The following is a 15,695-nucleotide window of genomic DNA, read 5'->3' as shown; positions in this document are numbered from 1 at the left end:
GTCTTTGGGTAACAACATAACTCTTTCAACAAATTGCCAATCAGAAAATTCTTAAATCTACCTATAACCTGGAAGCCCCCACTTCAAGTTGTCCTGCTTTTCCAGATTGAACCAGTGTACATCTTACAGGTATTGATTGATGTATTATGCCTCCCTAAAAAGTATAAAAGCAAGTTGTACCCTGACCACCGTGGGCACATGTCATCAGGACCTCCTGAGGCTGTGTCATGGGCACATGTGTCATGGGCACATCCTTAACCTTGGCAAAATAAACCGTCTAAATGTATTGAGATCTGTCTCAGATACTTTTGAGTTCACAAATTGGTGATGAAGGGATTCTGAGTGGAGGTGCCCCTGACCTTTGATGAATCTATTGGTGCTTGGTACCAGCTTGAGCTATCCTTATGGCTCAAATCAGAAGGACAATTTGCTGAGGCCTGGGAGTTCCCCCTCCAGAGAATCCCTGATCTCTCAAAATTTGGTCGAGATCTAAAGCTTATTTTGCTCTACAACTCCTTTTCTGGAGTTTTACTTGATTCCAACAAGGAAAGCAAGTTTTTCTGCTTCCATGATGATGCATAGCAGGTAACTCATTTCTGGAGTTTCAGCTAGTTTCCGATAGGGAAGGCAAGAACCTTATGTCTGTTCCTGTGCACCTTTCCAGGTATTTTTCCTGCTTCTAAGATGGTAAAGAGCAATCTTGTGCCAGGGCTCTATTCCTAGGTAAGTAGCAAGAATTGGGATTTTTTTGTCTTGGAAATTCTCCTTAATGACTACAAGTTGAAATTGACAAGCAGCTGGTTTTAATTTCTCCTTACCGTTAGAGCACTCAGTAATCATATTGTTGGGGTTTTTGTTGTTCTGATCTTTCTCCCATAGGATTTGATCAACTATAACAGACTTGGTCAAATTCCAATGAGAATTCCAAATTAGGGGAAACAAGGCCTCTGAATTGGCTAAAATTCCTGGCAGCTGCACAAACAAAAACAAAAACATGTGCTTGGTTTCTGTGTTCACTTCCTTTCTTAAAAAAAAAAAACAAAAAACAGTTATTCTTCTGTTTACTTTTGTTCCACTCTATTTTTCCTTCCCCCTTCACCATCTCTGGTACCAAGAAAAATCTACAGAAGGGTTCTAATGTCTCAGACCCCTTAAAGAACTCAGAACAAAGGCACCACTCCCACCCCCTTTTGGGGTGTTCTGTTTTCTTTGTGGGGTTTCAAGAGTCATGGGCAGATTCTTCTTAGATTTAAAACTCTGCTTTCCTGTATTGCATTACCTGACCCTCTTGGCTTTTGCGGGCACCAGAGATTACCTTGTACTGTGAGAAGATGTGACCTTGGAGTGTGTAATGGCAGACAAGAGCTATAAAGTTAGGAGTGGCTGAGGACAGTTTACAGCTGGTCTTAGCTTTTTCCACCCCGCTGCCCCCACCAATGAAGTTGTTGTTTAGGATCCTAATTCTAGTTCAGAGGTGCATTCTAAAGAGCTTTCTCATTGTCTTCTCTCCCAAAATTAATCTCGATTGGCTTGTCTGTGTATTTGTGAGAGCAACTAAACTGTTGTTTTTGTAGATAAATGTCAGACTGAGTTTCCTAAGCTCTGAAAAGAAAGGGCATTTTGCTCCTTCCAGCCAAAAGGCATCCCTGGGTTACTGGGGTGGAGCCTAAGGGGTTGACTACCAACCCCATGAAATGCAGCCGCCCTACAGGGAACCCCCAGCAAAATTAGTTTAAAAAGGTTCATCCAGGAAGCTCATGTAGGAACTCCATGTTTTGAGCACTCGGAGGTCTAAACCTCCAGAGAGAGAAACTGAGATACATAAGAGGGTGGCAACGACTCACTGGTGACACACTGTGGAGCCCCACCCAGAATCAGCATATTTTGACCCACTAAACTAAAACTTAGGCCACAGCTCAGTTCCTCCTTTTAAGAAAATATGTGGGGAATAAATTAAGGATATGGAAAAACAAGAACAAGGCCTCTCAGGCACCTCATTTCGTTTCATGGTGCCTCTACTTGCAAGTGGTTGTGTAAATGGAAGGGCGTGCCAGGTTTTCTAATACTCCAGCTGGTTACACATTAGGTCTGTTCTTGTGCGCATTTTAAACTGATGGGCAAATTACATCAAGGAAAATTCAGAACCTAAAGTTCAACCTGCAACTCTAAAGTTCCTAAGTTCTCTATCTCTGTTTTCTTTTCCACCTGCTTTGTCTGCTATTATTAACACATTTCTACTGAGATAAAATCCACTGTTTGCATCCAACCGTTTCTTTTTGTTATTGTTTTTGCAAACTGGTAAGTTTATATTAATATCTCATAGCTAAAATTTTGAAGTGAAAGCAACAGGATCTTTGTATGAGTGTGTATATGTGTGTTTATGTGTACAAACATGTATTTTATTATGTGTTTTTGGCCACAAGGTACTAAAATGGCTTAAAGTTGAAGGGTACTCATACATTAAACAATAAGCCCAAATGCTTTTCAAGGTCATGTGACAAGTAAAACCTTTTATAAATAAACTGGCTTAAAATTATTGGTCAAGTAATATTAGAAATGTCTTATAAATTGTCAACATATATTTTTGTTTGCATTTATTGATCAGCAATTTCATACTTATCCCTGACAAATACTCTGTGTCAAAATTTGACATAAAGTTTATAAAACTGTAAACCCAACCGTTATGGTTGGATCTGTATCCCCACCCAAATCTCATGTCAAATTGTAATCCCCAGTGTTGGAGGAGGAACCTGGTGGAAGGTGATTGGATCATGGGGTAGTTTCTCATGGTTTAACACCATCCCCCTTGGGGCTGTCATGGTGATAGTAAGTTCTCATGAGATCTGGTTGTTTAAAAGTGTGTGGCACCTCCCCAACAACCTTCTCTTCCTCCTTCTCCAGCCATGTAAGACATGCCTGCTTCACCTTCACCTTTCACCATGATTATAAGTTTCCAAGCAAAAGCTGCTATGCTTCCTATATAGCCTGTAAAACTGTAAGCCAATTAAACCTCTTTTCTTTATAGATTACCCAATTCCAGGATTTTTTAATAACAATGTGAGAACAGACTAATACACCAACCCAAAACAGAATGATCTTTGCTTGTGTAGTTTTTGACAAACAAGATATCAAATATTGTTGGTTTAATGAAAACAGCTAAACTTGGAATTATTGGTAAAATAACCATATATTTAATCCTGAGGTTCTTACTTAGGTAAACACCTGAACTTCATAGGCTATAAAAATCATTGACAGGGAAATAACTTTAAATGATGACTATCACAGTTTTCATAGTCTACATAAAATATTAAAATAAAATAATCAGGTAAATGTAAAGGGATAAATACCTGTAAATAAACTTGTCATAATTTAGAATATAAAATTATATTAAATTCAATAATAGATATTTAATTAAATATCTGGGTATTTTCCAATTCAAAAAATTATATTTTATTCTTTTTTTAAAATATGTTCTTATTAAAAGGTAAATAATTTTTGTCTAATTCAAAGCTTATTTAAAAGTCCTGTATAAATAAGAATGTGAAAGGAACCAGGAAATAGACCAATATAAAGAAAAGTATAGATATACAGAGGTATTTTTGGTAAGAAAGCTTAAAAGAAAAGTAATTTTGTATGAGAAAAATATTGTTTGGTGAATTTTTGTCCTAAGATAAAATGACCGAGTTATTCCAGAAAGAGTGACACTTAGGTCAAAGCAGAAAGTCCAAGCATGTTGTGAATGGTCTGTGTAAGTCATAATAAAGTTAGTAAAAAAGAAATTTATACAAATGTTATGTGATTAAGTTGTCCATAATTACAGAAAATTATAATCTTTTTTTTAAATTGAACTTTTATGTTAAAAATACACTAGACTGGGTGCGGTGCTCACGCCTGTAATCCTAGCACTTTGGGAGGCCGAGGCGAGCAGATCATATAGGTCAGGAGTTCGAGACCAGCCTGGCCAACATGGTGAAACCCTGTCTCTACTAAAAATTAAAAAATTAGCTGGGCATGGTGGCAGGTGCCTGTAATCCCAGCTACTTGGGAAGCTGAGGCAGGAGAATCACTTGAACCTGGGAGGCAGAAGTTGCAGTGAGCTGAGATCGCACCATTGCACTCCAGCCTGAGCAACAAGAGCAAGACTCTGTCTCAAAAAAAAATACACTAATAAATAACTAAAGATTTGGTTAGAACAAGATTTTATTTAAAATATTGAGTTACTCAATGCACAAAGTTTTTAATTTTTAAATTCTGTAATGTTTCTTTTTGAAATTATTCAAATTGATATCTCAGTCCTTTTTTCGCTTTTGAAAAGGCCTAGGATGGTAACTCTCTCCTTCAACTTTTGTTTGGCCTTATAACTTTTTTAAATTAATAATCTAAAGTAGGGGAGAGAATTTTTGAAAAGAGGCAAATGAAAAATCTTTTGGACCTGCCGTTTTCTATATGTCTGTTATATCTACATGTTTACATGTGCCATGTGGAAGTGATATTTCACTAACAAGTGGTACAAAAGAGCTCTAATCAATTGGCTTGGAGAATGTTAATGCTTATCAGACTGATGGAACCTAGCTCAGATGCCTTTTAGCTCACATGACTAGTAATCTTTGGTAAGATTAATTTGGTAAATTTAATCTCAATTATTTCCAGTAATTTAAAATCTTAAAGTCATGTTATGTTTAAATTAAGTAAACCTAGGTTACTTTTTTCCCCCACTGGGGATTTGGGTTAATAAGTCATGTAATGTTTAAATTAAGTAAACCTATGAGTTTTTTTTCCACTGGGAATTTGAGTTAATAAGACTTAAACTAGTAGGTGAATAAAAGGTGTTTTTGGTGAGGTTTCTGAAAACACAAGGAACTAGTTTTTGCTAAAGAAAATGTAATTTTTTTCTAGAGACTATTTATGAATCACTCTAAAATAAAGGAAAAAATTATATAGATAAAACTAAATGGATAAAGAAAAAAATAAAAGGGTGTGAAATGAGAAATCCTGACTCTTGAGTAGCCATGTGGTTGCCCATCTTAAGGAGCTGCAGCTGGGCTATAGTCAGTTACTAAAAGTAAAAGTTACCAGTGGAATTAGAGATGGATCCTACTCATACTCCCAGGGAGTTAGTTCCCTGAATGCATAAGGGAAGGCAAGCTAATAAGGAAGAAAAATGTTTCATCCTTTGGTTATTATCTGTAAAAGCTGAAATGAGAGTAAAAGAGTGTTGGGTTGGTCCTTAAGAGTGGACCAAGACCAGAAGTGGGTCTGTCTCAGCTCAAGCCTCTAGCATCCAAGCTACTCACAAAAATATAAATTAAACCGGGGCAACAAAGTTTACCTCTGAGACCTGTGGTTACCAAGAAGATAGTAAATGTAGGGGCAGGGCAAAACAACTATTAAAACCAGAGGCTATAATGTAAAGGAATTGTTCCATTTTGTAGATTGGTATAGTCAGCTTCCTGAGACACTTTTACTATAATGGATTTAAAAATAACTAATTTAAGGATAGAATCCTTAATTTTAAATGCTACAGAGTGAAAGAGCTTCTTTAGTTTGATCCATGACCCACAGCTCACTATTAAATCTCTAATGAGTATAAGTGATCCAAATGCATAGGAGGTTATTCCTGAGAGAACATCCAACCCTAGTGGACTGGATAAATGCCACTGTAAAGTCTGTTTACCCCAAGAAAGGGACTGCCCAACTCTCCCTATAAAATGCCAAGTGGAGTAACCCAGATGAAGCAGTAGATATGATTCATAAGCAAGCCACATGGTACTGGCTTTATGATGACCAGGATATTCTCCCACTTTATATGCCTATTACCCAGGTCATGGTAAATTTGGGGGTTAAAGAGGTCCCTTTTACATAGGCATCCCAGGTGACATTTCTCCGACAGAACCATACAATTGTTTGACAAGTTGTATCAAATTTGCTGTCCCTTGTGGGTCTTACAGATCCTTAATAAAATGTTGAGGTAATTTAAAAAAAAATGAGAAAGGCAAAAGAGAGTCAAAGGAGTCGCCCCAGAAGGGTGATAGAAATCTTTGGATGGTTGTTAAGAAATGAAATAAATAGAATGGAAATTGAGGGGGTTAAAACAAAGGTATTTAAAACACTATTTGTCCAGATTGTAAAATTAAAAAAAAAAAATCAAAAGCCAAAAGTTATAATGAGAAAGCTGACATTGCCTGGGTGAGTAAAATGTGAACCCAGAACATTTCTTTCCCTTTTGTTTCTGAGCTTTCTTGTTCTCAGGTGTTTTCTAAGGATGGGGGAAATTGCACCCCACCCTTCAACCCCCCATTGCTCTCAGGGGTCAGGAACATCGGCCTCAGTCCAACCCAGTCTTTTCTATGGCATTTTCCTTCTTTTTAGGGGGATTGTAATGGCACCTATCTTTTCTTTTACAATATTGGGGGTGTTCCACTCCCAACCCAATGGCCATAGGCACATGTGTAGGATGGATAGGAAGACAGCATCTCCCCATTCCCCCTTCCCTCCTGGCTGGGGTGCATGACTGTCTGCTGCATGTGCATGTGGTGTCCAACAGCCATCCAGTGCAGGATTGAGCCACAGCTGCTGCCCCAGCCCCAGGGTGATCTCAGGGGCCTGGGCCCCATGCAGCCAACTGGCCAGTGTCCCCTGCCATGTATCCACAGAGTCTTCCCCACCCCAAGCCAAGGGGTCCAGCTCAGTGCAATAGCAATTAAGTTTCTCTGCCTGTTGGAGAAATACATTTGCATTTCTCAGGCATATTTTTCTTTTCTCCACCTTGTCAGCAGTAAACACAGCCCTGCATTTAAGCTGTTGTTGTTGTTGTTATTTTCTTTTGTCCACCAAGTCATGAGTTAGTAGGCTGGTGTGAAAGTAGTTGTGGTTTTTGTCATTACTTAGAATGATGGGCACCACAATTGCTTTCGCACCAACCTAATAACACAGCCCTGCGGGTAGAGGGGTCTTCTCTGTGCCAGAAGTTTTCTTCCTTTTGGAAGGCATCTTATTAGACCAGGACCCTAATTCACAGGACACCATTTTCCCTCCCTTGTTTGAGAAGGACCTAATTTCACAGTTGCACCTTAGCCTTCAGCTTATGATAAGGCGGCAGCAGCCAGACTGGTGAGGGACACCTGGGGATTGATGAGTCCATGCACCCACCTACTGAGGCAGTTCTTTTGTCCCAAACTCAATTCCAAGCTTCATGTAGAAGCCCTAGGAAAGATAACTGCATCGGAGGGATCCAGAGGCAGACAACAACAAAAATTAAAAAGCACAGTATAGGTGAGCATGACTAATTCCTGACAATTAAGCCAAGCCTCTTGTTTCATGGATAAAGGTCATACTAGTATCAATGGCCTAAATGAGGTCTAGGGCACTTGAAGGCTATTGAGAGCAGGGGGAAAGACAGTTTGTGGGTAACAGTGGATAATCCCATCCACTAGGTCCCCTGTTACCATGGGTGAGAACCGTATTGGCACCCATGGGTGGCACCCTGTCGAGGTTGTCAGGACTTGGGGACATAAGGACGGAAGAAGGAAAATGGATGCTTGTTCCTTCTTTCCCTCACATACCCTGGCTATTTCCTAGAAAGAGAAAGGAACCAGGGATGTCTGGCTCCCCTCTTTCTAGATGAGTAGCCATTCATCTTCAATCTGTCCCCCTTTCAAATGCATCCTGAACCCCTGGGGAGCCTTTGAAAAAAATCTTTTTTTACTTTTTCCTCCTTTGTCCTCTCTTCACAGATGGGTGACTGTGTCCCTGTACTAAAGGACATTCCCATAGGATGCATCCTCCAAACTGAGAAAAGTTAATTTCCCAAACCTTAAACTGGTTGGCTTAGAATTGAGCTCAGGGGAAGGGAACCCAGAAGCATGACATGCCAGCAAAAGGATAAAAGTTTTTTAACCAGTCAGACTTTTGGCCTCTCTCTCCCTGTGTAAACTGGTGAAAAGAATGATAAGGATCACTGTTGATATTCCCTGTAAAGTTTCCATTAGTGAAAAAGGTTTTATGAGGCTGGTCTTAAGGTGTAGCCAATCTGGTGTGCTTCGCGTGTCTTAATTGAGGCTTGTTGGTTGAACCTTGAGGTTCTTTTGATAAACTTCCAAAGCCAGAAATATTGGCTGCTTGGCATGGCTGAAGTCAGGTAATGTGGGATTTAAAAGGACTTTCTTAAAGAGAGCTCAGCTTAATTAAAAGTGGATATCCAAGCTATACGTATATTTGAAAGGCCTTTATGTTTTTCTCTTCTTGGATCTTGTTTTGCTGGAAAAAGATTTTTTTCTCAGTTGACTGAATTACTTTTCTCCACCTTGTCTTGCCAGTGTTAATGCGCACATGAGAGGCCCTAAGATAATTTCTGATGGCATAGGGCTGCTTGGTAAAAACAGAAAAGGCACCATGGATTCCATTTTGGGAGAAACCTCTGTTTTCCTCATGGAACCCCAGGAATTAGAGGCAAATAGATCGCTCTCAAAATCCGTTTTTGTTTTCCAGCTATGCCTGTTTATTAGGCCCTAGAAACTGCATGCAGCCACTTGGGAGGCTGAGGTAAGAGAATCGCTTGAACCTGGGAGGCAGAGGTTGCAGTGAGCTGAGATCGCACCATTGCACTCCAGCCTGGGCAACAAGAGTGAAACTCTTTCTCAAAAAAAAAGAAAAGAAAAAGAAAAAAAGAAAATAAACTGCATGCTTTCTTAGCCCTGCTCTTAAAGGGTCCCACCCAGAGACCAAGAATCCAATTAGGAGATGGGCAAATGAAAAATCTTATAACACTCAATCTTCTTCTCCATCTGTGTAGTTATAAAAAAGAGCTCTAATTAATTGGCTTAAAGAAAAATCAGCACTAAGATCAAATATTTTTGGAGGAAAGATAAAAGCTATAATGCCTTTTAGTTCTTGTGACTTTAATCTCTGAGAAATAAAAGTAGTCTTAAAGATAATTGATAAAATGCAAATGTTCTTAAAATGTAAATAGCTGGTCTAAATTATGCAAGTCAGGCACTAGGTGGCTAAATGTTTTAAGGTTGTAAACGGCTTCTTTTGCCTTTGAAAACTGTTCAATCTGCCTGCTTTACAACTTGGTAAGGCACAGGGACATATGGAATTAACCACACCCTTAATTATGCTGGAAGGAATCAAACTTTATCAGCACCTAGTGCGTAATTAAAACGACTTACCAGGTTTTAAACTAAAATTAAAAAGTGCTAAGAGGTACCATTATAACATGTAATTGAGACCACTGAAAATAGATTTACATGCAAGGTATGTAAGAACAGTAAAATGTGTTATTAGTCAAAGATTATAAGAATGCATGGAAATGTAAGTTTTTGCCTAAGGTTAAAGGACTATTATAAATTAGATAAGATAAACTAAAGGTTTAAACAAGTTGTGGGAGGTTTCTAAAAATTAATCTTGCAAAAGAAATTCTGTGTGTGAACATTGATTAAATCCAAAACTCTATTATATGGTTTTTCTACAAACTGAGCATTGAAATGAAAGCACAACAAGGTTTTCTTAAAGCCCTAATCTGCTCTTTAGCAGATTAGTAAATTAGTAATTTGTAAAAGGTTATAAAAGGCTTACAGGAATCTTACCTCATGATCAAACTGGTTAAGATTGGATAGAATTGTCTATAAGGTTTCATTAAAAAATTGGGGTTGACATTAATAGTAAACTAATGTGAGGGTAAAATTTGGCTTTCTCTCCCTTGTATAAGATTTTCATGTAATAGTAAAGGATAATTAAATATTTCAGTTTGTCTTCCAGATAGACTGCCAAGGAAATGAAAGTGAAGACAGGAGACAAATTCTTTGGAAATCTAAGTCTTCCCTCTAAATGAGTAAAAGTTTTTGGCTTGTTTTAAAATTTTTGAGTCATCATTTTGGCAAAATAAGTAATTTATGGTAATCTGGAATTCTACTTCATAACATTGTTTTAAACCTCTAACATATTTAATGGGCTTCCCAAAATCAAATGTCAGCTTCAAGGTTGTCTTTCCTGACCCCTAGCATCCCTGGAGCATCCAGAAGAGAGGTAAATAGGATTACCTGACAAATTTATGTACATGGGATTGCCAAAATGATATTTAATCTTCTTTGGGTTATATTTTAGTGAATAATAATATATGCTCCAAAACTGTATGGGATTTCTAAAATTCTAATATCTAAGTATATGCTATCACTCACAATTAAAGGTGTTATGTTAGGTGATTATAAGCCACAGAGATAACAAAATTTCTTTGTCAATTGTGTTTTTGACTGTAACTACCATGGACATTTTGCTATTCACAGACCATTGTTTTGTTTTGATCTTCTTCAAATAGGATTTATAATCAGCTATAGAAACGTAACAGGTGCTCTCAAATGCAGGTTTCTGATAACTTTGGAGATTGTGACATTGGAATAATGGAAAAACGTACAGGACTCATGAAGAGCTGAAATGTTCACAAATATCAAGCAGAACAAGAGTTAACTGAACAGACTGAACTAATAGAAAATTGAAGTAATCTTTTTTAAACTTTAGCTTAAAACAGTGCTGATCTTTTTTTTTGAGCTATACACAATCTTTAATAATTGAGTAATGCAGACTCCTATGAACAAAATTTAGCACTTTTTTTTCTCTCTGCCTGCTTCCTCTAGAATTTGGAAACTATCTGTGAGTATTCTTAACTTAGGGCAATACGGTTATTTGCATCAGTGCAGTAAGAATCCACTTTCTTTTGCAACAGGATGCAATTGGAGAAACTGGTTGCTTTAGCAACCAGTAGCTGTAACTTTAACTTTACCAACCAGTAACTGTAACTTTGACTGGAAGGGTATGTTTCCCTTTAAGGAATCAAGCTCAACTTGCAGAGCCAATAAAAGCCCCTTGGGTAAACCAGCCTCATACTTTGTCTACACAGTCCCCATACAGGTTCCCTAACCTGTAGTGAGTAAAGAATGTCACTTTCTAACAGGGCCAGGAACCGCATATTCTTGGGACCTCAAGAAGAGAGCAATTCACCCAACTCATAGGTATTAGAGGGTACAAACCCATGGCTGGGCTCATTTTTATGAAGTCCTATCTGAAATTCCTTGTGGAACAGAGTTCCATCAAAGCCAATTTAAAAAGCCTATGTAAAAATAATTATTCTTGTTGTACTTTGTGCAAATAAGCAGACCAAGTGTAAGACTAAAGTTTATTTTACAAACAACTCACTCCTATTATGATTTGTTTTTAACAAAAATGAGGACTGGGGAGAAAGAAATTATGTTTCAAAACTTATCATACATTTGTCATTAAATTCTAGACTCATTAGTTGTTTTTAAGTTTTTTGCCTACATTTTAAATTAACCCTGCTTATTCCTGTGAACTAACCAGTGATCTCTGGCTGCAGCTCAGAAGAAACAAAAGGCATGGGTAATGTAAAAATCTGGAACAGTATTCTAGTTCTGAACAATTATCCTACAAATCCTGCCAGATAATGGGAGTAAATAGGGTGCCCATAACCCAGAGGTTTCTTTTTTGGGAAAATAAACTACGGGAGCTAACCAAAGCCAAGTCCCATGCACCCAAATCTTAGCAGGCACAACTACAGCTACCAGTTATCTGGGCATGTCAGCAGCCTCAGGATTTTTGAACTGTCCTTACCCTTCCCCCATTTCATTTTGGTACATGTCTTCTAATAACCTGGTTTGTCTCTTCTCGCCTTCAGGCCCTCAAACTCCAAACAGTTATGCAACCAGAGCCTCGAATGATGGTCCCTTTTACCAGATACCCTTAGATAGGCCTCTGAGGGAGACCCAACTGCTGTCTTTCCAAAACAGTGCCCTCTGTCAGCAGAAAGCAGTTAAGATGGGTCTTTGTCTTTCTTCTTATCCTTATTCTAATGGCAGTTAGATGTACTCTTTTAGATGGGGGAATGATAGAGGCAGAAGACAGCCAAATGCCATCCAGGACATTGTGTACAGGGGGCTTGCCTAAACATGCCCATGGTGAAAAATTCCATCCCTTAACACATGCTCAGTAAGGGAAATAAATCAATGTAGCGTGGGTTCAGACTAAGGGCCTGCATGTGCACTGGGAGAATGGGGTGGAGCCACTGGGAACATGCAAAAAATCCTGTATTGCAAGCGTCCTCCCTCTAGGCCCAGAGACTGTTGCAGAAGAGGTGGGCACGTGAGATTGTAAGGGCTGATTTGGAAGGATAGAATTAACTCAAACCCTTCAAATCAAGGATGAGTACATGGATGCCTAAACAGCTGGTAAAACAAGGGACTTTGCCTTCTGAGCTATTACATGGCACCTCTTCATCCACTCCAACCATAAAGAATTTACTGCTTCCTGTAGAATTAAAAGAAAATAATAAGTAAAAGGATAAAGATACCAAGTGACAAAGCCTCCTGGTATAATATTTCCAGTTATGAGCCATGCAGGTATATATTTTTTAATTTTTTCAGAACAATTCTTATGTTTTGTATAAATAATTGCTATAAGTCCATAACAAAACCCAAGATTACAGTAGCATAGAAGTTAAAGAAAAGTCAGTTTTGTAACCTCACCTTTAACTTTTTGTTTGTTGACTTTTTACTTAGAAAATAATTTAAAGGCTAATGAATGTCTGTCCATGCCCATTTAATTGGGCATCTGGACTAGAACATTTAATTGGCTATAAGTCATTTGATTCTGAGTCCCTCAGCCATAGGGAGTTCCACTTAGGGACAGGATGAACCCAGGGCAGGCAGCCATGCCACCCCAGCAACGCTATGGGAAAAAATAAAATTTTGGTGGCCATTGATCTTGCCTCTTATCATTGTTATTATTTTTTTTTGCAGGGGGCCGAGGGGGAACAGAGTCTTACTCTGTTGGCTGGAGTGCAGTGGCACAGTCATGACTCACTGCAACCTCCACCTCCCAGGTTCAATCAGTTCTCCTGCTTCAGCCTCCCAAGTAGCTGGGATTACAGGCATGTGCCATTACACCTGGCTACTTTTTTTGTATTTTTAATAGAAACGAGGTTTCACCATGTTGACCAGGCTGGTCTCAAACTCCTGACCTCAGGTGATCCACCCACCTCGGCCTCCCAAAGTGCTGGGTTACAGGCATGAGCCACTGAATGGACAGCACTGATTATTGCTGGAGAAATCCTTTTATGGGACTCTTACATGATTATTCATAAGAGGGTGAGAAAAGGTGTTGCTAGTAAGCATGTCCTCGGTGGTCCTCTGGGTGCACATGTGCAGTAGCTGTACATGCTTGTTCATACATCTCATAATTCATCAGCATCTTAAATCTCCACCTAGGGGTGTGTTTTTTACTATTATCATGAGAACAGGGTCCGTTTGAGAAGAGGTAAAATCAAAGTGCAAATGCTGTCTATGGGAAATATTCCCTGCAGGAGATAGCTGTGCTTGCATGAGCTGGATTACAATGCGAATACTGGGGCTCATTGTGTTAACTGCACTTACTTCCTTGACTACCTGTCCTGCCTCATCGTCACTCCATTGTGACTCTAACAACTTTCACATATAATTACTCTCACTTCCAATTTTTTCTACTTAATGCCTTCCAGTGGCTTCCCCTTCTTCAGAACGCACCCAAAGTCCTTCCATCCTGTTCAAGTCCCCTGGATCAGGCTGCTGGGCCCCTGACCTCACCACCAACACTCTGCCCCTTGCTCCCTCCTCTCCAGCCACATTGCCTCCTGCTCCTTCATCTGGCCTCAGCCTTGGGGCTTTGCTGTGCCCCCTGCTCAGATTTTCCTCCTCCAATGTCTGTGTGGCATCCTGCCTCACCCAACTCAGACCTTTGTTCATATGTCCCTGTCCAGCAAGGCTATTCCTCACCCCCTACCTGCAATGGTATCTTCCCATTATTCTCCCTCCCTGCACCTACTGTGTCTCCATGGCACTTAGCACCACCTGACAAAATAGTGATGTGTCAGTTTATTATCTGCCTCCCTGCCACGGACACTAGGATATCAGCTCTATGAGAACAAGAACTTGTCTAATCCCTGCGTATTCCCAGAACTTCAGACAGTGCCTGGCATAGGACAAGTGCTCAATAAATATTTGTCAGCTAAACATATTGTCTACACAACCCCCTCCATTTCACTTATATTCATGTCAGTTTTACTCCTTTATTATGGTTTTACAGTTTACAAATAAATACGTACTTATAAAAATAAAAAATATATTTCTATATATAATATAATTTTATATTTATTTATATGTGTTATTATATATAACCTAGAATATTAATATAATTTATTTTATGTATTATAGAGAAAGAAACATGTCTGTTTTCTGTGATTCCAGAAATTTTGAAAACTTCTACAGAAGAATTGCAGAAATTCTTGCAAGCCAGAACTGATTGAAAGTCAATAAAATATATGTATAAACGTACAGGATTATAGTCAGATTGCAAAAAGCTAGATAAAATCAAAAACAAAAAACCAGCTATAACAGCTTGCCAAATTCAGTGAACTGACTTTACCTCAACAATTCTACCTATGTTACTGCATCTGTAGAACTGCTCATTTCCCATTATTTTAACTTCCCCTCTGTAGGACTGAGAATCAGGTATGACTCCCTCCTGGGACCTATGGAGACTCCTCTCTCTCCACACACCTTGATTCCTGCTTGCAAGTTTGGGAAACATTAAAGCAGCTATGGGTAGCCTGGGGACATGCTCCAGCAGGAAGTGGAAAGAAATGGGAGGGAGAACTAATGCGCCTGAGCCTCTACTATAGGCAGATGGTTGGCAAAGTTTCTCTTATTGACACTCCTAGCTATCTGGTAAGACTAGTATTATACATTTTTTTCCAGTGAGGAAACTGAGGCACAGTGTATTAGTCCTTTCTCACACTTCTAATAAAGACATACCCAAGACTGGGTAATTTATAAATAAAAAGAGGTTTAATGGATTAACAGTTCCCCATGACTGGGTAGGCCTCACAATCATGGCAGAAGGAGGAGAAGCAAAGGCACGTCTTACATGGTGGCAGGCAAGAGATGTGTGCAGGGGAACTGCCCTTTATAAAATCATCAGATCTTGTAAGACTTATTCACTATCATGAGAACAGCATGGGAAAAAAACACCCCCATGATTCATTTACCTCCCACCAGGTCCCTCCCACAATATATGGGGATTATGGAAGCTACAATGCAAGACAAGATTTTGGTGGGGACACAGCCAAACCATATCACACATGAAATTTAGAAGTTGTTTTACTGTAATTTAGAAATTTAGAAGAGATATGTCTTGGGAATACAATATAGTAGGAACTCAGAATGCAAATAAAACATTGAGGAGGCAGAGCTGGGGTCTTGTGGATGAAGGGTGGGAGGGAGGGATGCCTCAGGCTGGAACAAGTGCAGCTCAGAGGACAAGGAGCCAGCTAAGGGCCGAGAGGGGAGCCCAAGGCCCAGCATGGCCCTTGGGCAGGAGCCTCTGCCAGGGTCTTGTTGGGCTAAGCAAGGAACATGGATGTGGAAGAAGGTTGGAATCCTTCCCATGGCTGAGGTGGAGCCCCTATTTTAAGGCATATGGGATGTCTAAGTGGGTTCAGTTAAGGAGTCCAGAGACCCCAGAAATCAAATGAAGTTAGTGAGTACTCTGGGTTTGTGTGGGAGCACTTGGGGGGAATGAGAAATGGCATCCTACATGCCTTTAAGTACCAGGATGGGGACCCCAATGCAAATGGATGAAGCTCGAAGTACATT

The 15,695-nt window shown here is 39.4% G+C and overlaps 2 annotated features.

The window, feature by feature from the left end:
• Window positions 11,790–12,989: an enhancer, noted in NCBI's record as "MED14-independent group 3 enhancer chr6:137500946-137502145 (GRCh37/hg19 assembly coordinates)". NCBI's record gives its function as "activates an origin of replication core promoter dependent on BRD2, BRD4, P300/CBP and CDK7 cofactors, and independent of MED14, by STARR-seq in HCT116 cells {active_cell/tissue: HCT116}" and the evidence as "EXISTENCE:reporter gene assay evidence [ECO:0000049][PMID:35650434]".
• Window positions 13,995–14,164: an enhancer, noted in NCBI's record as "experimental_90370 CRE fragment used in MPRA reporter constructs". NCBI's record gives its function as "activates a minimal promoter by MPRAs in K562 erythroleukemia cells, with activity observed for both the introgressed and non-introgressed 6:137499856 variant alleles {active_cell/tissue: K562}" and the evidence as "EXISTENCE:reporter gene assay evidence [ECO:0000049][PMID:34662402]".

The sequence above is a fragment of the Homo sapiens genome, chromosome 6 (assembly GCF_000001405.40).
Source record: "Homo sapiens chromosome 6, GRCh38.p14 Primary Assembly".
NCBI lineage: Eukaryota > Metazoa > Chordata > Mammalia > Primates > Hominidae > Homo > Homo sapiens.
The sequence above is the reverse complement of the archived record's forward strand: the minus strand, read 5'-3'. Positions and strand labels throughout refer to the sequence as shown.